General features: G+C 43.8%; 1 protein-coding gene across 11 annotated transcripts in view, besides 1 other annotated feature; it reads right to left on the bottom strand.

Annotated features, from left to right (window-relative positions):
• Window positions 1–4,459: 4,459 nt before the first annotated feature.
• Window positions 4,460–22,380, bottom strand: part of RABGAP1 (RAB GTPase activating protein 1) — a 173,196-nt gene continuing 155,275 nt past the window's right edge. For all 11 annotated transcript variants that reach the window (XM_047423130.1, XM_017014567.3, XM_017014569.2 and 8 more), the window contains 7 exons: window positions 19,476–19,568; window positions 18,941–19,051; window positions 11,481–11,585; window positions 10,528–10,611; window positions 9,777–9,848; window positions 7,563–7,760; window positions 4,460–6,235 (listed from right to left, as the gene is read on the bottom strand). In XM_047423130.1, the coding sequence (XP_047279086.1) occupies window positions 6,113–6,235; window positions 7,563–7,760; window positions 9,777–9,848; window positions 10,528–10,611; window positions 11,481–11,585; window positions 18,941–19,051; window positions 19,476–19,568 (786 nt within the window). In that variant the 3' untranslated portion in view covers window positions 4,460–6,112. The remainder of the gene's footprint in view (window positions 6,236–7,562; window positions 7,761–9,776; window positions 9,849–10,527; window positions 10,612–11,480; window positions 11,586–18,940; window positions 19,052–19,475; window positions 19,569–22,380) is intronic.
• Window positions 6,462–6,756: a silencer, noted in NCBI's record as "tiled region #8358; K562 Repressive non-DNase unmatched - State 17:Gen3'". NCBI's record gives its function as "represses a minimal TATA promoter and a strong SV40 promoter by Sharpr-MPRA in K562 cells {active_cell/tissue: K562}" and the evidence as "EXISTENCE:reporter gene assay evidence [ECO:0000049][PMID:27701403]".

Below are 22,380 nucleotides of genomic sequence, written 5' to 3'. Positions count from 1 at the left end.
GGGTGGATGGCTCCTGATAATGGACAGTGATTTGGGTGGGGCCAGGGCCTAATTCATGATCCCGTTATGGTCCTTAAAACCCTGCCTCTCTGTGGTGTGAAGTTTCCTCAACATGAAACATGAACCTGGCACCCTGGCACAGTGAGTGGTAAGTGATGTCATGTTGAGTGAGTGCTGACCTCTTAATCGTCACACCTGTTCGCGGGGTCAGTAATACCCAGACAGACAATACAGATCGGAAACCGAGGCTCAGGGTTAAAGGACCCTGCCCAATGGTGTCGAGCTTCTAGAGGGCGGCAGCAATTGGAACCCAAAGCTAAGGCTCTTCTTCCTGCTGCCTGCTTTTCTGCAAGGCTTCTGCAGTTGAGCTGCCCTAGTAACTGAGAGCTCAAGACCACAATGTAGTCCCAGTCCACTTGGAAGGACGAGGATGAAGAAGGTCCGGTAGCCCAGGGAAGTGTCCTGGTGGGGAATCGGGCCAGGGGCTGCTGCTGCTGCTGCTGCCTCCAGGTAAGTGGAGAGTTGTGTGGGCAATGGCGCCGGCTGTGTTTGCCTCACTTTAGAACTCAGGGCCCCGCCTTCTCCCTATACATCATCAGGCTGGATCTACGACGACGCAAGAATTGACTGAAAGAAAGAAGAGCCGCCCGGGCCAGCTCTCTGCTGTTCCCATCCTCATTCCCAGGTTGGCCTTTCTGAGATTGAGGGACGGCTAGGCTTTCTTGTTCACAATTGCCACAGGCCTCAGCTGCACAGGAGACAGGTTGTTGAGGTGGAACTGGGAGAGGGGGAGGGAGGGAGCATTGTCTTTCTTGCTCTTGGGCCCTGGAAGAGAAGGTGAAGGTGGTGGTATGTGGTAGGAAAACTAACTCCCCGATGGTGTGGTCACAGGCAGACTTTTCACCTTCACTTTCAAATTTGGGAATAACATCACTGAACTCAGGGGTGTTCTGATGACTGGAGGGAGAAGAATACAGGAAAAGAGCCAAGGGCGTCACAGGAGAACCCAGCAGCCCTGACGAGCCAGGCACCAGACCCACTGCACAGATCAGAACTCAGGAAGGTTAAGTGAAATGTACGTCCAAGGGTATGGCCTGGCCTTGAACCCTGAGTTTCTGTGTGTGTTGCTTGCAGTACAATGCTGTGACGGTTTACACCTACCTGCTTCCACACGGTCATCTTTAAGCAGCCACCCTGCTGGTTACTGACAGAAGTACGAGTCAACATCCCAGCCGTCTCTCTGAGCCCATCTCTCTTCACCTATCAATCAATCAATCAAATGTGGAGGGCAGAGAACTCAGCACTCATGTCTGTTGTTCTGGGAGTGCCTCAGTGCCCATTCTGGGCGGCTCCAGTCCTCATATCTGCCTGCTCCAGCGTTCCTGTTCTTTCATCACCCCCCAAATGAATCTTAGAAGAGGATTTAAATCCCAATGTCAGAATCAGGCATGTCTCTGAGCGGTGAAGTGACTCTCCAAGGCCACAAGGGGCCCATGTCACCCATTGCGCTCCCCTCTGCATGGGCTCTGGTTTTCACAACTGATGGGTCAGCTCAAACATGGGAGTTGTGTTCTGGGCTTATTCGGGTAGCCGGTGGCTCTCTTCTTCACCCCCCTCACTACTCAGCCCCTGCCCCTGGGACTTGACTTGGAATTCAGAAGAGGTGCAGACACTTTGGGGCTGATAGCTCCTGCCATTCGGTCTGAGCCGCTGCCTCCCCACTGAGAATTATCAAGGCCCTGGAAATCAGCTTGGTTTGCAGCAGGGCCTGCCAAAGAAGGTCCACTCAGCCTGTGCTGCATGCTTGCCGACCTCGTGAGCAGGAGACAACAGGTGCCCAAGGTTGGAACCACAGTCTGAGTGGCCCAGCACAACTGCTCTTCCTGCCACAGTCCCCTCTGACCACTGGCCTTGCTTGCCCACTTCCCTCACAGCCAGGCTTCTTAAAATCTATACTTGCTTGTCTCTGCCTCCTGCCCTCCCATCATCTCAACTGTAGTGGCCACTGCCCTAACAACCTTCCAGCTCCCAAATCCAATGAAGCTTTTCCAGTCCTGCCCTCATCCCCACCCCAAGGTAGCTCTTGCTCCTCTCTGGCCGTCTATGCTCCATTCTCCATGTCTTCTCTCCTGCTCCTTGAATGGCGGCTCCTAGCCCTTGTTTAAGCTGTACATTATCTAGGCAGTCTCTCCAGGCTCCTAGCTTCAGCTTGCTCGAGCAATGGTTCTCAATCAATCAAGGGTGATTTGGCCCCCTCAGGGAATATTCGGCAATACCTGAAGACGTTTTTGGTTGTGCCACTTGGCGTGGGGTAATGCACTAGCATCCAGTGGATAGAGGCCAGGGATGCTGCTGGGATTACACAGGACAGACCCCCTACAGCACAAAAGTATCAATCAGCCAAATCATCAACAATGAGGTCCAGAAACCCTGCGCTAGAGATGCCAAACCAACAACTGAGCAGCTGTAGATTGCCAGCATCTCCAACCTGCAAGTCCCAGACTATTTCAAATCTATACCCCGACAGCTAAATTTATCATCTTCCTGGTGTGTCGTCACTCTCCCTAAATTTCACTGACTCCGTTCTCCATTCCTTATTCTATCATCTGTCACCTCTGCTCACACCCTTAATTTCTTCTCCTCCCGATTTTTCTTCCTAAAGGATCAGCAGGGAACCACTCAAAGTGCAAGTTAGCTTAACCCATTTATGCCTAGTGTTCCATTATTGGAACGCTAAGCTTGTGGGAGTTATTTATATCCTACTGCTTAAGGTCATCGCCAAGGTCTGATTTTTCACACAAAAAAATTTGTAACCTCTGGCATAAATGGGTTAAAACTCTCCAGTGACTCCTTATCAGCTCCAAACTCCCTGGCATGGCCGCAACCTAATTACCCAGTTTCATCTCTCATCACCCCACCTCAAGCCGACTTTACTACTATTCTTCCCACCTAAATGCCGCTGTCCTCTTGCTGCTCCTCTGCCTAGCTAGCAAGTCCCTTAGTTGTCAGTCACAACTGTCACTACCACTTTGTCCCTCCTGCATTTATACATAACCTTCCCACAGGATCCCATGCACCTGTACACGACTTACCATACGGTGTCACATTATTCTCAGTCTCAGCCTCAACATAACCAGGGGACCTCCCCAAAAGCAGAACCCTCATCCGAGTCGTTTGAGGCCTGTGTGCCAAGACTAAATAGTATATGGACTCCTTTTCTTGGGCCAGTACGCAGCTACAGGGATGAGGATTCTGCTGAGTCCCTGCCCTACTGAACACAGAAGCCATGGGACAGGAAAAGCATGGAGCAGGCTGATCCAGAATGTGGATCCCAGAAACATGTCCTCCAGCCTGCAGCCTGTGAGCATCAAAGGGACCTAGCTGTGCTCTGGAGCCACAGTCCTGGCTTCTGCAAGAGTACCTGCCAGGGGCTGAGCCCTATGCTAGGAACTTTCCTAGTTTCGTTGCAGTGGAGAAAGACAGACAGACAGGGCAGGGGCCCACCTGCTCTCTGTCTAATCTGTATCTCTATCCCTATCTATCTATCTATCTATCTATCTATCTATCTATATCTATCGATCTATCATCTATCTATCCATCTTATCTATCTCATCTATCTATTATTTTATCTATCATCTACTTTATCTATCTAATCTACATTTATCTGTCTGTCTGTCCATCCAGCCATCCATCCAGTCATCCTTCTTGCAGGCATGAAGCTATGGTCTGTTCAGCCTGCATCCATTTAAAGGCTAGGCATAGGTGGGGTCCTAGAGGGCAGGTCAAGCGGGAAGGGGGAACCGTAAGATTAGGGAAGCTTCGTTCTTCTTCCTGCTATGGAGAAGGGGGTTGAGGTGGTGAAGAGGGGCAGCAGAAGGCCTGGGAGCCTCATCTGTATGGTGCAGGGATGTGGAGGACAGGCGATAGGAAGAAAGAGGCTCTGAAAAGATGATGACAACTCCATGTCACTGCTTTTAAAGCTTTTAGCAGACCACAGCCGGCCCCCAGGTGCTCAGCCTGCCTTTCTACTCTTCAGCTGTTTCCCCTGCACATGCACACTTTGGCCCTGGAATTCCCTCTTCCATCTCTGCCTGGTGAGATGCTTTTGCCTTTGAAGGTCTAATTTGACCCTTACCTCCTGTAAGGCTTCCTTAAGCCTCAAAAACACCAAGTGTCCCTCATCCCTGCTACTACAGCATGTTATTTCTCAGAGGGGCAATGTTCATCATAAACAAACACAGAGGCATCAACGTCGTCATCTTGCCCCATGTGGCCTGCCACACCCTACCACTCCATACGTCTCAACAGGTGGGTGAGGGGCTGCCTCGCGCTCACACATGCCTCTCTTACAGCACACACAGTGGTCTTCTCTGACTGCTTCTGTGCGCAGGGGATGAGGGAAGAAGGGGAGGCGACAGGAGTAGGTGATGACAAAACTGGTTTTTACAAAGCAATGCTGTTTGTTTGTACCAAAATATTTAATCAATATGCTGTTAAAATAAAACCAACAAAAGAAACAGTAATACAATTTTACTGGTTTATATTTCAATTCATAAAGTTGACACACTGAAACTACCTTAGCACAATGTCCACACACCTAGCATTAGATAGGCTTACAGCTATTTTGGTAACTGAACAAGAAAGACACAGAAAGCAGCAAAGGGGATGGTTGGTGGGGAGGGGGTTGCCACTTGTTACCTCCCTTATTACAGATAACCTCAGCAAGCGTTAGTACAGCCAATAAGAAAAAGAGCTACAAAACAACCCGAGTGTCTTTATATACAAAACCAGTGCCTCTTGTAAGCAGCCGCCTCAACACTGAACGCAGAAAAGAGGACAAAACCATCTGCGTGTCAGCCTGTCAGCATATCACTATATAAATTAAAAGTCAAAGTTTTTTTTTTTTTTAAAGGTGCTAAAATCCATTCCATAGCTTTGAAGTGAGAACTTACAGCCCATCTGAACAGTGAGGTTTGTACCCAGGCATACTCTGAGGAGGGCCCAAAGGCCCAGCCCATCTGGGAGGGACAGGCCCGGAGGATGGAGACCTCGCAGCATGTGCACCCTGCGCAGACATTTACAGACACGCAACTCAGTCTTTCTCACTTGGACAACCTGTTGTGCAAAAACACTAGGAATCTTGAAGTGAGGGAGCTCTGTCCACAGCTCCCGTAATGGCAGGGAGGAGAGCAGAGCCCAATGAACCTTGAGTGAAATTAAGTGCTCGAATAACCACATAATTAAATTGTGCAGATCAGCAGTCCTAGTCTGGAATTTAAACACTGTCAACGGGGCATATTGGGAAAGATATTTATATATATATATACATACACACACACACACACACACACACACACACACAAACACATTAAGCAAAATAAGATTTGTCCATGTTATAATCCAGTCTCACAGTCAAGTCACCCACCCCAGCCTTTTGAAGTCATTTGGCAGCTAATGCTAAAAAGTAACAGGAACTATGAGAGTTGCATAGAATTGATCAGAAACATGAATAATGCCAAACCCAAAACCTGCACCATACAGTTTAACAGAACCAGGTGGCTTCAGATGCAACTATGAAACCCTCCTATTTAAAACAAAGTGCTTCTCCATGTCTACCTGGGGGACCTTCTGCTGGCATTGAAGCAGAAAAGAATTATTTGAATTTCTGATCCCTTGCCCCACCCCCACTATATATATATATATATATATATATATATATATATATATATATATATATGTATATTAAAAAAAAAAGGTTTAGAAAAAAAATCAACAGACTGAAGGATCCCCTAACTCTGATCATGTAAACTCAGCCTTTAGGCTGGGTGAGGTGTTGACGTACACGGGGAAGAGGCCTGGGAGGTCACACTGAGGAGTGATTTCTAGAGTGTCCAGAGCGTCGGCTGAGCTAGCAGGCCTGTTAGTATCAGTAGTCTTACCCCAGAGGTTGCCTGCTTCACAAGCTCTGGTCCAGTGACCTACCAACATGCGTCTATGGATCTGACTTAGGTACATTCTGGTCCTGGGACAAGTCACAGAATCACACATCTGGCCAAAGAAGGCAACAAAAGGTGTCGTGTTTTCTGAAGGTGTCGGGAGGCGGCAGCTGCTCTCAGCAAGTCTCTTTCCCTTGAACCCCGGTTGCTGTCTTTATGGAGCTCAGTGTTCGGTTAAACCACGTCTTCTTGGCTGCCTGCACCTCATTGAGGGCAAGCCCTAAATGGTGTTCCAAGTCCTGCAAGAGGAACAGTGTGCATGAGGATGCTGGGCTTGGTGTCAATGACACTGGCTCCCCAGAGGAGAACCAAGACAAGAATGCAGTCTATTTACTCTGGAGAGGCCTCGGGGAATTCCCCCAGTCTCCAACTGGCATAGAAATGCCTGAAATGCCTAAAGATTTGGGAGCTTTTAGTTAAGATCTAATTTCTTGCCTGGTCTATTTATTAAAACAGTCTTCTACTTGCTATGTCTCCCTCTTCTGTCCACCTAATGCACACCAGGCAGACAGGTAATGCTCTATTTCTGGTGACATCATTTCATTTTGGCAAAAATCTTTAAACTCCCTAGCATGGCATTTGAAATGCTTCGCAATCTGGATCCACACACTCTCTTCCAGCCTTAGCACCACCTCCATCCCCTACTGCAAGGAAAGAACTCCTGAGGGTCCTTCCTGGGCAGCCACTCTCCTCCTTGTGCTGCTGAACATGCCACTCCCTCTGCCTGGAATTGCCACTGTTCTCTCTCTCCTGTAGCTACAAGCCCTGTGCATTCTTTGATCACAGCACAGCTACTGCTGCCTTGGTGATGCCTTTCCTGATTATTCCGGGTAGTCACACTACCAGGCCTTAGCTTTGCAGTCCCAGACCTATAACAGGGCCTGCCAAAGAGCAGATGCCCAGTGAATGTGTGCCATGAGGGAGAATCAGCCCTAAAGCTTTTATCCTGAACTTGTTCCCTCCATAAACAGTGCTTAGGGTTTAGTGGTGCTGGTGGACCTAGCAATGTGTATTAAGATGACCAAAACAAGCCCTAACTTCTTTATCAGGAAAGGAGGCTCAGATAGGTAGTATATTAACAGTCACAAAGCTAGTTAAGTGGTGGGAACTGGAAGAACAAAAGCTTGCATTTATAAAGCCCCCGACATTCTGCCAAGCCATTTGTGCACACTATCTTACTTAGTCCTCAAACCAACCTATCAGATAGGGACTCTCATCATTTCCATTTGTAGATAAGGAACCTGAGATGTAGGGAGGTTACTAACCCAAGGTCAAACAGTTCAGTGGTAGAGCTGTGTTTCTAAAGCACTGTCTTCTCATCCCATCAAAAGATTCCAAGCTTTTGTGTATTATTCTCAATATGACAGCGGAAATCCTCAAGACAGGCCAAATACTGATGAGACATCCACTGGCCAGTAACAAGTCCTATATTTCTTCTCATGACAACTGTGACCAAAGTTTAAAAGGTGTGGAAAAACCCCAAACCATAAAGATAATTTCTGGGGTCTCTAGTGCACATCAGGAAACCCAGCCCGCAGGCACATGTCTGAGCTCTGCTGCTGTTACCTGTATCTTACACTCGGCCTCCACCAGCTGGAGTTTGGTCTGTGCCAGTTCTAGCTCCATTTCTCTCAGCTGGTTCTTGAGCGTCTCTTTCTCTTCATCCGTGTCCTCATCTAAAACCTCCTTGGTTGAGCTTATGCCTTTTACACGCCCTTCTTTGTTGAAAAATTCCCGGCACCGCTCACAGTCATCCACTTTTTGCTGAAATTGAATGTTAGATGTGAAGAGGCAAAGAAGAGGAACTGGCCCTTTAGGATGGTGTGAGCATCTCCTTTGGGGGACACCAAGAGACGGCTTCTCTGTTGAGCACTACAGTTTCTGAAAACCTGTGCTCTTTGTAAACTGGCAGATAACCTACTGGAAAAGCCACTTGGTATTATACACCAAAAATAATAAAATTATCATTGTCTTGATTCAGTAATCTCACTTCTAGGAACCCAGGCTGAAAAATGAAGCTGTAACTAGATAAAAATTTATGTACAAAAATTTTCACTGTAGAACTGGAGACAGGCAAAAAAGCAGGGGATAAACTATTCAAAAACAATTAAATATTAAATATACTGTGCTATATTTATACAAGGAAGTACACAGCCTCTAAAAGGTTTTTGAGGAACTTTTATAACATTGGAAAATGGATGCATGCTGGTTGAAATAGAACACAAAAATGTACATAAACTATGATTACAAATAAAATGTATTCCACATTTCATCAAAATAAGATGCCATTAACTGTAAGAAATGTCATTTTATGTTCCTCTAAGAAAACATTCTGCCAATTAAACCACAAAAAGCCAATTATAAAACATCCGACTTTCAGAGATGTAAATGTGAAAAGAAATGCTTATCTCAGAATGAATGAAATTTTAGACGTTAAACACTGAACAAAGACTGAAAGAATACACACCACAGTATTAATAAAGATGTTATATGTGGAAAATGGATCATAAGGGCTTTTTTCCCTTATTTACTCTTCTTTTCCAAATTTTCTGCAAGAATATTAAAGTTTTAGAATCAGAAAATAAGTTCTGTTTAAAAACCAGATCTGGTTGGCCAGGCGCAGTGGCTCACAGCTGTAATCCCAGCACTTTGGGAGGCCAAGGCGGGTGGATCACGAGCTCAGGAGTTCGAGACCAGCCTGGCCAAGATGGTGAAACCCTACCTCTACTAAAAATCGAAAAATTAGCTGGCACGGTGGCACAAGCCTGTAATCCCAGCTAGCTGGGAGGCGAGGAAGGAGAATAGCTTGAACCTGGGAGGCGGAGGTTGCAGTGAGCCGAGATGGCGCCACTGCACTCTAGCCTGGATGACAGAGCAAGACTCTGTCTCAAACACACACACACACACACACACACACACACACACACACACACACACACACACACATCTGGTTAAACATTAATTATGACGAAGGCCAGTGTCATCCTGCTCTAGGTAATGTTGCTTTGCGCAAACATAGCCATGAGCACAGAACTTTCCCAAGTTCCTGTCCTCTGAGCTGTAAATATGTTAGTGAGGCACTTTTCAGTAAATTGCTTATCTTAGTAAAATCTGACAAGTTCTGTAATACAGGTAGAACTTAAAGAAAGAAAGCACCATGTTATAAAAACTCCTAAGCTGCCAACAAAACATTAAACAATTAAAGTTCTAAACTGGGCGCAATGGTGCCCACCTGGAGTCCAGCAGCTCAGGCTGAGGGAGGGATTTCGCTTGAGCCCAGGATTTCAAGGCCAGCCTGGGCAACATAGTGAGACCCTGTCTCTAAAAATAAAAAAAAATAAAAATAAACTAAGGTCCTCATTGTAATTGGATGTGTTACAGCAGAAGGCATGAACTCAGAACAACACTGGAAAGTGACAAGCCACAGCACATGATTCTGACCTCTGCACTCCCACCACCTCAAGCAAGACCTATCACTTGCATGACTCCTTCTCCTCAGCATCACACTGCGGACATCGACTGCCTTACAGACATTTGGAAATCATGGGGCACTTGCACTTTGAGATCTAAAGCTAGAGCTTGTTTGATTTCATCTGTACACCCTTCCAGAGAAAACAGGCGTAGTGTTAGTTGTCAACTACTGAGCCAGGACCTGTGACAGGTGCCTTATTGCTTAGATTCTCTCACTTTTGAAATCAACTGCCTCCTCCCAAAACCTGTTTATACAGCCATAAAATGAAGTAGGTGGTATAAAATCTTTTAGGTAAAGAGAAGTCTTACCCGAATTTTCTCAATTTCCACCTTATTGGCTGTCTGCTGCTTCTCCAATCTTTCACTCAACTGAGAACAAATCTAAAGAAACAAATATAAAACAACAATCTCTTGAGCAATTGTAATCATCTGCATAAATTCCATAGTGGAAGCTGGAATATGTAAATTGGAATTAACATAGTAGCAAATAGCCTGCTACCGCTCAGGAGGGGATATGAAGTCGATGGATAAGCAGGGGTTCTTCTAGCTATGCCGCCTCTGCATTCACTGGCCTAGGACTTGCAGAAACCAAGCAGCACCACACTCAATGGCCAATGGTTTCTGAACACCTGCCAGACTCATGAGCCAGCAAGAGATCCTAGTGTAGGAGGGAACAAGACCATTCTGTTATGTTCTTAAAACTCAACCAGTCAGGGAAATAACCGGTTTAAAACTACACGTAAACAAAAGTTCGTAATTCTGAATCTGAAATACATACCAAAACATACTGTGGTTTTAAGTACCTACTATGTGCTGGGCACTGCCAGGCACTCTACAAACATGGTCTTTTTAAATCCTCGTAACAACCTTCCTAGGCAGGGATGATTTTCCTTCTTTTACAACTGAGAATAAGTGAAGCCACTTGTCAGTGCAGGGGCAGAGCCAGGATCTGAAACCAGGGTGCTTGCATTTGGGTTTGGGGGTGGGGGGCGGGTATACATTTTATCCAGACTAGGGGCTCCCAGATTACACAGCCCAATCCCAGGGTACTGGAACCTACCTGCTTATAGTCACCAATGATAGAACTGTTTTTTTTAATCTCAGATTCTGCCTTGTCGAGTTCCCGACGGCACATTTCTTTTAACTGCACACATAAAAAAACAAAAGGGACTATGTTAACAGAAAAATAAAGGAAGTTCTGCCACCAACCGCTTAGTGCTAGGCTTCCCAAAAACTGCTGAACCAAACCCTGGAAGTCCTCTAATTCAGCTACTTTCTTCCTTCAATCTTGGCAGCACTAATCCCCTGTTCCTGATGCAGGAGAGGGAGAGAACAGTTAAAACTTCCAAAAACGTCAGACCCCATTTCAGATTGAGGCTTCTGCTGAAGGTCTTCCCTGCCAGTACAAGCCAACCTGTGGACCTTCACTGACAGACCAGACACAAACCAAAGAGCTCATAAGAGGACTGCGGGTTTTCAGCATCTCATGGTTTCTGTAGAAAGGGCTTTGCAGTCTCTCACCCCAGCCAGTCCTGCCTCCTGGACGACCGTGGTGTGACAGGGGAGGGGACTGCTCCCAGGCGCACAGCACCCAGAGCTCTTCCCATGCCTGCAGGTCTGTGTCTCCAATGACTATGGAGCACTGGCTCAGAACAAGACTTCCCAAGCTTGCTCTATGAGGGAGACAGCAGAGGACAAGTAGGGAAACAGCCAGGCATTATATGATGTGTGCTTTCCTTCTGCAGGAATTCTACCCCCTCTTCTTTGTTATGCTCAGATGCTGATACACAGAAATTCTCCTGCCCCAACAAAGGATGGGCTTCAACCCACTGTCTCCTCCTAGACTTTAATTAGGAACCATTGGACTTTACACAGTAGGGGGAAAAAAAAAGTCTTTGGAAAGAAACTGAAGCCAGATGTCTCTAGGTTTTCTAGTGCCAACAGGAAGCCACCAGCTGAACTCCCAGTTCTCAAGCATTTGCAAGACAGAGGAATGTGGGAGAGTTCCCTTACCTGAGCAGACTCTTCTTCCAGCCGTCTTTTCTCTTCTTCTGCATCAATCAACTTCTGTTTGGTCATCAGCAGCTCCTTATTCAGAGCATCTGCCTTTTCCTCAGCCTGAAACATTTAAGATATGCTGTCACAAAACAAGAATTGGGAACTGCAAAGGATTTCCATTACTTAGCATAATCCCATTTTAAGATGATGGGGAAACTCTGATTCAGAGAGGGGAAATTATATCCCCAGGGTCACAATGAGAATACACTCATGCATAAGTGCCTGTCCCAGTCTCTTGCTCAGAGGTAGTGCAGGGCAGTAGTTAGGAGCTTAGCCTTTGGCATCAGACAGCCTGGACTCATCGCCCATTGTTCACTGACCATGTGCCACTTGGACAAGTCATTGAGAACCTCTCTAAGCTTCCGGCTCTTCATCTGAGGGATAAGGCAAGAAAAGCATTCAGCACAGTGCCTGGAATACAGTAAACACCAATAAAAGGTAGCCATCATTATTATTAATAAACTGGTTTTCTTCCTCCAAGCTGTGTTTCCTCTGCTTCATCCAACCCGTCTGGCATTTTTCTCTTGTTATTACCTGATAAAGGAGGCTGCCCCTTTCCTGGCACTTTTTCTTATCTTTAATGGCCACTCTCCACTCCAGTCTTTTTCTAAAGCATGCAAAAGGTCTAGTGGGCGTATCTGTGAGTTCTAGTGAAAATGATATACTTTTGCCTGACATACGAGTTCCTGGTGCTGGGCACTCCAAAGATAACTGAAGAAGGACTGACTATACCATATTAGAGAAGACTCAAGGACTAAATACAGAGGGTCTCTGCTGGGCTCCTGATATGGATAGGATTTCCCTGAAATTCTGACATCACCTAAAGTAGTGTAACTGGGCCACTGAGTTTTCCACTATACTCTATTTCCTTTCCTGTATCTTCTTTGGAAGAAACAGGTTCCAGAGAGCTGGGTCCTTAAATGGGGAACTGGGCCAGGTGCGGTGGCTCACGCCTGTAATCCCAGCACTTTGGGAGGCCAAGGTGGGCAGATCACAAGGTGAGGAATTTGAGAACAGCCTGGCCAACATAGTGAAACCCTGTTTCTACTAAAAATATACAAAAAATTAGCCGGGCGTGGTGGCAGGCGCCTGTAATCCCAGCTACCTGGGAGGCTAGGGCAGCAAAATAGCTTGAACCCAGGAGGCTGAGGTTGCAGTGAGCCAAGATCGCACCATTGCACTCCAGCCTGGGCAACAGTGCGAGACTCAGTCTCAAAAGAGAGAGAAAAAAAGGTGGAACTGAGAATGGCATGATACGCAGATTCAAAAGGCCATTAATTACTGGCAAACTGCAAATGCACGCAATTAAATTGCGTGACTCTTTTATCATTAGGAAATGTCCCTCTTTGTCCTTGGTAATACCCTTTGTCCTCGGTAATACCCTTTGTCCTGAAATCTACTTTATCTGACATTTCTATAGCCAGTCCAGTTTTCATGGTATTGTGTGGTATGTACATCTTTTTCCATCTGTTTACTTTGGTAAAAGAGTGACTCTTTTATCATTATGAAATGTCCCTCTTTGTCCTTGGTAATACCCTTTGAAGGTGTAACAATCCAAAATGTATGCAGAAATTCAAATTACATGAAACAAATCCCTACACAACTAAAAGGAGAAAAAGAAAAATGCACAGTTAGAGTCACAGAACCTTCTACTGTGCTCTCTCAGGAAGCGACAGAACAAGCAGAGAAAATCAAGTTGTTCTACATAAGACTTGAGCACTATCAACCAATTTGGCCTAATTGACACAGTACACTCCACTCACAACAGAACATACATACTTTCCAAGTGTATGTGGTACATTCACCCAAATAGATTATATGATAAGCCATAAAATAAGTAATGGTATATTCTAAAAGGATTAAAATCAGGCAGGATATAATCTCTGATCACAACAGAAATAAATGAAAAATAACAGAAAAGTTTCTGGGAAAAACAATAGTTGGAAATTAAATTACATACTACTAATAAACTTGTATAAGTGAAAGAATAAATCACAAGAACTGAATGAAAATAAAAGCACAACACATCAGAGTATGTGGAATGCAGCTGAAAATAGTGCTTACATGGAGATTTCTGATTTTTTTTTTTTTTCTTCAAAGACACAGGGTCACATTCTGTTGCCCAGGCTAAAATGCAGTGGTACGATCATAGCTCACCATAACCTTGAACTCCTGCGCTCAAACAATACTCCCATCTCAGCCTCCCAAGCAGCTGGGACTACAGGCATGTGTCACTATGCTCAGCTATTTTTCAAAAATTTTTTGTAGAGACAAATTCTTGCTATATTGCCCAGGCTGGTCTTGAACTCTTGGGCTCAAGCAATCTTCCTGCTTTGGCCTCCAAAGTGCTGGGATTACAGGCATGAGCCATTGTGCCTGGCTGAGATTAATAACTTTAAATGCTTATTTTAGAAAAGAAGAAAGGTCCAGAGTTATTCAAACTTCCTCTTTAAGAAGCCAGAAAAAGAGCAAATGAAACCCAAAGAAAGTAAAAGCAGAAATCAATGAAACAAGACAACAGAGAAAACTCAATAAAAGCAAAAGCTGGCTTTTTTTTTTTTTTTTTTTTTTTTTGGGACAAGGTTTCACTCTGTCACCCAGGCTGGAGTGCAGTGGCATGATCTCGGTTCACTGCAGCCCCTGCCTCCCGGGTTCAAGTGATCCTCTCACCTAAGCCTCCTATGTAGCTGGGAATATAGGCATGTGACACCACAGCCAGCTAATTTTTGCCATGTTGCCCAGGCTAAAGCTGGCTTTTGAAAAGATCAACACAACTGATAAACTTCTAGCTAAGTTGGTTATGGAAAAGTGGGAAAAAGAAATGACGTACATCAGGAATGAAAATGAAACATCTCTACATATCTTATAAATATTAAAAGAATACAAACAACCTTATATCAACATACTTAAGATGAAATGGATATATTACTTGAAAGACACAAATTATAACAACAGACACACGAAAAATTAGAAAATTTGCATAGCTCCATATCTAGAAAAGAAAAAGAATTCACAATTAATTTCCTGCAAAGAAAATTTCAGGTCTGCGTGACTTCACTAGGGAACTAAAGACTTAATCAAAGAACAATCATATACAAAGTCCTCAAGAAAACAAGAGGGAACACTTCTCACTTCATTTTACGAGGCCAGCATTCCCTAATGACAAAACCAGACAAAAACATTAAATAAAACTCCAGACAAATATTCCTTATGAACATATAAATATTTAATAAGAATTAAAATCTTTAATAAAAAATAGAAACCCCAACTGGAGTTTATCCTAGGAATGCAAGGTTGGTTTACATTGAAAAGTGAATTTATTTCACTATATTAACAAAATTAAGGAGAAATACCAAATGATTATCTCAACAGACACAGGAAAAGCATTTGACAAAATTCAACACCCATTCATGACAAAAACTCTCAGCAAACAGGAACAGAGGAGAATTTATTTCCTCAACCTACTCTACGAAAAACCTACAGCTAATGTCCAGAACCAGGCAATGATGTCCACTCTAACCATTCAGCATCATTCTGAAGATGCTAGTCAGTGCAGTGAGACAAGAAAAAGAGAGGCAGATAAATATGAAAGGAAGAAAAACTGTATTCAGAGATGATATGATTGTATATGTGGAAAATCTGAAAAAATATATTTAAAAAGCTGCCAGACTAACAAATGAGTTTTTACAAGGTCACAGGATACAAGGTCACAACACAAAGACCAACTGCATCTCTAGAGACTAGCAATACACAACTGGAAGATGAAATTTAAAAAACAATACCACTTTACAAAAATAGATTAAAACATGCACGTCTTGTAAATTGAACACTAAAAAACATTGCTACTGAGAGAAACTGAAAAAGATCTTAATAAAGGAAAATTTTAACATGTTCTGGATTGAATGCTTCAACTGTTGTTCAGATGTCAGTTCTCCCCAAATTGATCTACAGATTCCATGAACCTCACTCAAAAGCCAGAGGCTTTTATTTCTAGATATTCATAAGCTGATTCTAACACTGATACAGAAATGCAAAGAACAACAAAGTCAGAGAACTCACATGAACTGATTTTAAGATTTATTATAAAGCTACAGTAAGCAAGACAGTGTGGTATTGGCTTAAGGATAGACACAGAAACAGACGGAGCAGACAGAATCAAGAAGTGAACCCGCCAATTTAGGGTCAATTGATTTTTAATAAAGGGGCCAAGCTAACTCAATGGGGCAAGTTCAGCAATCTGCAAAATGTCACAGAACTAATAAGGAGCTGAGGCAGAGTTTACATCCTGCTGGACAGCAGTTGGGCTCACCAGCAAGTTTCCTTCACTCTCATGTCTGTCTCAACACAGAGGAGTGACCCTGCTAGAGGGGACTCGGACATGGTCCTATCAGCTCTGCAGGGACCTTCCATAGCTTCCCCTCATCCTTTTAACACCAGTGTCAGGTCTAGTCATTACTCCCATTTCATACAGAAAGCTTGATTGGGGTCACCGAGGAATTAAGTGGCTGGCATGGAATTTCTCCACAGCTGTTGTGTGAAGAACAGCAAAAGTGACAGGTGATGAATAACAAAAGTGATGTATAATCAACCGAAAATACAAGAGGGCCCTGGAAATTTTAAAGCCTCACACCAGAGCTTTTCTCTGAGATGCAGGAAGGAAAGAGCTCAAAGGAATGACGTTCTTTCAAAAACCTAAGTCCCTAAAGTAAAAAAATAATGAAAGGGCCCCACACTCCTCCCTTCAGTGAGGAAGAATCTAGCTGATTTTCAGTGATGATTCAGAAGAAACTACAGAGAGAAGTCTAACTTGGGAAGGGAAAGTGAGTGTGGGAAAGGTGTGTCTGCAGCATTTTAGATGACTGCAGGATGGGCCCTGGTGTGATGCTCCTGAGCCCTGCCGCCTGCTTAGGAGGGTGAGCTCTGGTGTCAGCCCTTCAATTTGAGGGCTTGGCCACTAGCTGGGTGATCTGTGTGGGATATTTAACCTCTTTTTGCTTCAGTTTCCTCATCAGTAAAATGGGGATCATAATTATATCCCTTCTACAACACGGCCTACTCTGAGGATTTGATAATATATAGAAAGCACTTAGAACAGTGCCTAGCACTTGGTAAGTGCTCAAGAAATGTTAGCTCTTATGTCACAATCCCTGGTCCTCATGTTTTTGATACGGTTATGACATTGATTCATAGCTCCTTGTCCCATATTTACTGTGGAAACAGGCTGGCACTGTAAAAAAAAAGCCTGGGCATTCCAGTTCCATGGGCCTGGCTCTGCTTCTTCCTGGGTACCTTCAACTGAATCTCAAGTTTTATAGCTGTTAAAAAAAACAAATCCTCATCCATAAATGGAACTTACATTACTGTTCTCTCAAGGCTGAGGTAAGGGTAAGAGAGATCAAAGTTTAGTAAAATGCTTATCATAGTGCCTAGCACCACAAATCATCAGTAAATGGGAGCTCATATTATAATTCTTATTATTTTGCACTCCTAATATCAGGAATGAAACCTGGTTCTCTCACTACTGTGTCAGGATAAGATGACTTGAAAAAGGGTTTATACTGTTTAGGGGCAGGTTTTAAGAACATAAGTAGTCTACGACTCACTAGTGGGTGTCACTGTTAATACTGGGCCTGTTAGACTGGAAAATACAACAGCTCAAACTAAAAATCCACCTGGAATTTTAGCCTAAGCTGCCTCTTAATTTCATTGTAGGACACAAAGGCTCCTATTCAAGACCCATATTTTTTTTCTTTTCCTTTTTTTCCTCCTTTCTGCATGACCCATGGCTGTTATGAGGGCTGTGTTAGGCACACACCTCTGGCCCTGCTTCAGTAGTCCCTGCTCCATGTACACCTGCCTCCCTCCACTCACTAGGCAGAAATACCCGAACAGGGAGAGAATGACCCATATAGTGTTTCTACAAAGAGGAACAGAGGATATGCTGGGAATTTGCACCGTAAGGAGGAAACTCAACCCTGATGAGCAGACTGTGGTAAGCCAAAAAGCCATCAAAAGACCTCAGGTTCTGGTCATTGAGGGCTAATGACCTTGAAACATTCTCCCTGCAAAAACTGCAAAGAGGAGCCTTCCCTGTTAAATTCAGTTATTTGTAGATGACAAGCAGACAAGCAGAGGGCGCTAACAATGCCTGTGCCTGATTTTTTTTTAATGATGCTTTCATATACATCTAATTATGTAATTCTCTCTATACCCTGTGACATAGCTATTATTTTACCACCCCTCATTTTACAAGGTGTCCAAGGTGAGCTGAAAGCAGAGTAGCTGGCATTAGAATCCAGGTCCATCCTACATTTTCTGAATGGGTAGATACTGTGGTCTCTGTCTCACCTGTTAACCACTTTGAGAATCTGATGAAACCATAGTCTTTCTACCTAGGAGAACTAAATGAAAGCATAGCCTTTCAAGGAAATGCATGAGTACACAAAATTTTTGTAAGCTTCTGGTGGATGTCAAGGACATCCTGAAATTCATGGACCCTATTTCAGTGCATATAATGTAAGACCCCCGTAAAAATCCTCAACAGCCTGAGCCCATCCCTGGAACTTTAGGAAACCAATGAGTAGAAAGGTAATCCTAGGAGCCTAGCAGGGAAACCTAAAGGGTTGGCAAACTACAGTCCAAGGGCCAAATCCAGCCTGTCACTTGTTTTTGTAAATAAAGCTTTTAACTGGAACATAGCCATGCTCATTCATTTGCATATCATCTATGTCTGCTTTTGCTAAGTAGTAGCAATGTAGACTGTAGGGCCATAAGCCTCAAACACTTATTATCCATCCCTTTACAGAAAATGTTTGCCAACTTCTGACCTAAACCATGATCGAGAGATTATACCATTTCTTCTAAGGTTAGTCTGTAGTACAGAAAATAGAAAAGGGTTTCTGCCAGGAAAGACATCATTCCAAAATTGTTAAGATTAGGAGAAGCAAAGAAAAATGAAACATCTGTCAACAGAAACTCCTGATGAAACTGCAAGTTGCTGAGGTACTGAGCTGCATTCCAACTGGCAATGCTTTTTCAACAGTCACCAAATATGTAGGATAACAAAATCTCTTCCTGTCTGAGGAGGGAGGTTAACGTAATTATAATGATTAAATGCTCCTGCCAATTATAGTAATGTAAGAATTAACCACAAGGTCTCTTAATCAAATGATGTTTGGGAAAGAAGCTCAAGGATTATGTGCACAATGAGAAAAGAATGTGGTAAGGAGGGCTTTGTGAGACAACAGATAATTCCTGAAGGAAAGGAGGGAAGTGACACTGACAAGCAAGTTGTATCACAAGCGGGAAACTTTACAGGTGGCTAGAATAACAATCACTAAAATTCCAGGATTTCTCTTGAGGGGAAAAGTCAAGTGTCTCAGTGAGATCTTTCCCTTCAGACCCGTTGGACTTACGTTATCCAGGTCCTTCCGTAGTGCAATCTTGCTGGTCACCAGCTCATGGGCTAAGTCATCGTTTTCCTGTTCCAACCTCATGTTAGCTTCTTGTAGACGCCTATTCTCCCGCTGAAGGGTAGAAAGAAACCAGTTACAGACACATAAAAATCAGATGGAAATGAAAATTTCTCAGGGCTAAACCTCAAAATAAATTTCTAAGTCCTATGGAAACAATAAGAGAAATGGCTGGACCTGATGTGTTTCCAAATCAACAATTTCTTATTTTCTAGCTCCATAAAGAAATACTTAACTGATTCAAGTGACTTTGTCAAGCACCTACTATTTGTTAACTGTGACGAAAAGCCACTGAACTGTAACAAACCAGGCAGCTGGTTTGAAGCAAAAACAGATCTTGCTTGCTAATTTGCAAACTCAAACCTGAACCTACAGAGGAATTGAATTTTAAAAAGGACTCAATAAAGCTAGTTACAGGCGCAATCATATGAAATGAAAGCATGGGAGCTCCTCACACGTAGGCCATAAGCAAACAAACCTCAAATCGCTCGATGGGGTCTTCTTGCTGGGCCTGCTGTTCCCTCATGGTGTGATATTCTTTCTCGTATTTTTTCAACTTCTTCTGACTAATCTGTAGGATAAATCATAGGGTAAATTAAGAAGTATTAGAAAGTAGTGGGTGCTTCAGTGCCTGCACTGAAGACCAAGACTTCTGGTGGCCTGGGCAATCTCAGTCATTATGGATGTGGTATTTCCTATTTTTTTGGAGGGAAATCATCAGAGTAGGGTATAAGCCCAGGACCCCAAATTCTCAATGCGTTTAGAGTTCTGTTGGAGATGTTTGGGTCCTAAGGCTTTAACTGACAGTATTAGAATGAACACCCTACAGACGGCTCCTCCTACAAGTTCTGGGTCCTATTTGTCCCTAATAATAATGCCACCATTTTATTTAGCATATACCAGTGCTGCTGCTAAATCCTTTAAATCTGTGACCTCACAGCACCTCTACGAGGTGTGCTATTCTCATCCTCATCTTATAGGCAAGTTAACTGAGGTATAAGGAGGTTGGTTATGTAACTTGACCAAAGTCACACAATAAGGGACTGGGAGATCTGGGATTTGAGCCCTGGCAGTTGGACTCCATCCAAAGTCCTCACTATCCTAGCACCTCTCTATCCCCTCCCTTTCCTCTCTCCTACCTTCTTCTGTGCTGCTTTCAAACAGACAGTTATCTCTACCCTTAAAAACACAGCTGTGCTGACTACTCTGCTTAGATGCCCTCTCACCCCATCAGATTATTGTTCTCTTTCTCTCAAGCCTTTTCTTACCCACCATTGCAAACCACAGGCCTATATCTTCACCTCCATTGCTTCAAGACCTGCCCCTCCTTAATGTAAGTCAGGCCTCTGCTCTGACTACTCTATGAAAGAACCCTCTTGAAGGTCACCAGTGGTGTCTTTTTCCTCTGTCCAGTGGTCTTACATCTCCCCAACTAAACTTCAAAACTCCCTGACTTTCATGCTTTAACATGACCAATCTTCTCTGCTTTCTTCTAGAAAATCTTTTCTCCCTTTATTCTCTTGGCTTTCCTTCTAGGTAACAGGCTTTCCCCCTCTTTACTGGTTGGCTCTGTCTCCTTCTTCAAGCTAAACTATAACCAAGGGCAACATACCTTCAAGATGCAACTGGCTTTTTTTTCCTCTTTGAGACAGGATCTCTATCACCCAAGCTGGAGTGCAGTAGTGTGATCTCAGCTCACTGCAGCCTTGACATCCTGTGGCAAGTTGATCCTCCCGCCCCAGCCTCCCAAGGAGCTGGGACTACAGGCACACGACACCACACCTGGCTGATTTTTATTTTTTGTAGGGATGGAGTTTTGCTATGTTGCCCAGGCTGGGTGACTATCTTTCCTTCCTCTGAACAGCTAGCCATTCCCTATGGCATTGGCATTGTTTTAAATTACATGTTCAAAAGTTATGAGATATAATAGAAAAGTGATTAAAAAAAAAACAGATGTGTGCAATTTAAGGACTGATTATGGCTGGGTGCAGTGGCTCACACCTGTAATCTCAGCACTTTGGGAGGCCAAGGCAGAAGGATCACTTGAGGCCAGGAGTTTGAAACCAGCCTGGGCAACACAGCAAGACTCTCTCTACAAAAAAATATAAAAATTGGCCAGGTATGGTGGCATGTGCCTGTAGTCCCAGCTACTCTGGAGGCTGAGGTGGGAGGATCCCTTGAGCCAAGGAGGTTGAGAATGGAGTGAGCCAAGCCAAGACTGCACCACTGTGTCCCAATCTGGGTGACAAGAGAGAGACCCCATCTAAATAATTAAAAAAAAAAAAAGAATATGAAACTAATGGTAATCCCTTCCTGAAACTTCAGTAATCAGCACTAAAGTGCTGACGTGGAAATCTGCCTGTTAGTCCCCAGGTCCAGGTAACTAGGACTCTCAGATCTACTCCACTCTAACTTTCTTATTTTACAGATGAAGAAATAAGACCTAGAAAGGGAACAGGATAGGCCCACATTTGCTGCGTGTTGGTGTCAGTGTCTCCAGACGCTCTCAGTGGGAGAGTGTGTTCCTCTCCCATTGACTGTGGACACCTCCCCTAGTCAGGCTGTTTGCAGGTCTGCCTCAATCAGAGCTCTATTCCTGGAGTCTGGCTGCTGCCCAAGGTTAGACAGCCAGGAAGACAGCATTCTGCTCCAGCTGACCTCTACAGAAAGATGCTCACTCAACACCTGGGGTGAGGCCACAAACTGGAGCAGGACATCTTTAAGCTGAGATCTTCTGCAGTTTAGGCCCAATGCTAGGGTAAACTTTTATTGTGTACCTAAGTGACTCACAAAGAAAGCACCTAAGTAAAATGTCTATGCAATCAGTAAGTGTATAGACAATCCTAACAGATCAATAGTAGTGGAACAGAAAATAAATGCGGCTGCGAACAGCAAACACTTCATCCCAGTGCTTTTGCATTCTGAATAAATGAGAGGAAGGGCAGTGGTTATGAGGCTCCCATGGCACTTTATTAAAAAAAAACAAATTGACACCAAATCCTGTAAAACATTTTCACAAATCTTCAAGTTTCTTCAACTTTTCATTCTTTTGCTGGGGTAAGGAAGAATTAACATTTTTCCCCATAGATATATGTTGTAATAGGCTAATTACAAAACAATGTCTTCTATATTTCATTAACCCTTATTATAGCTGCCTCACCCTCATAGTAATAGGGTTGATTCTCCCTCAGTATCATATATAACAAGAGTTGGTGTGTGATAAGTACCTGGTAAATAATAGAACTTTTACACGGACCAACATCTCATTTGCTTCTTACATTCTCATGATAGGATATGGGTGTTTCTTTTCATTTTTCCCATGTCTTCCAAGTATTCTGCATTGAGTATGAATTATTTTTATAATTAGGAAAAACAGAATGCTG

The sequence above is a fragment of the Homo sapiens genome, chromosome 9 (genome assembly GCF_000001405.40).
Source record: "Homo sapiens chromosome 9, GRCh38.p14 Primary Assembly".
NCBI lineage: Eukaryota > Metazoa > Chordata > Mammalia > Primates > Hominidae > Homo > Homo sapiens.
The sequence above is the reverse complement of the archived record's forward strand: the minus strand, read 5'-3'. Positions and strand labels throughout refer to the sequence as shown.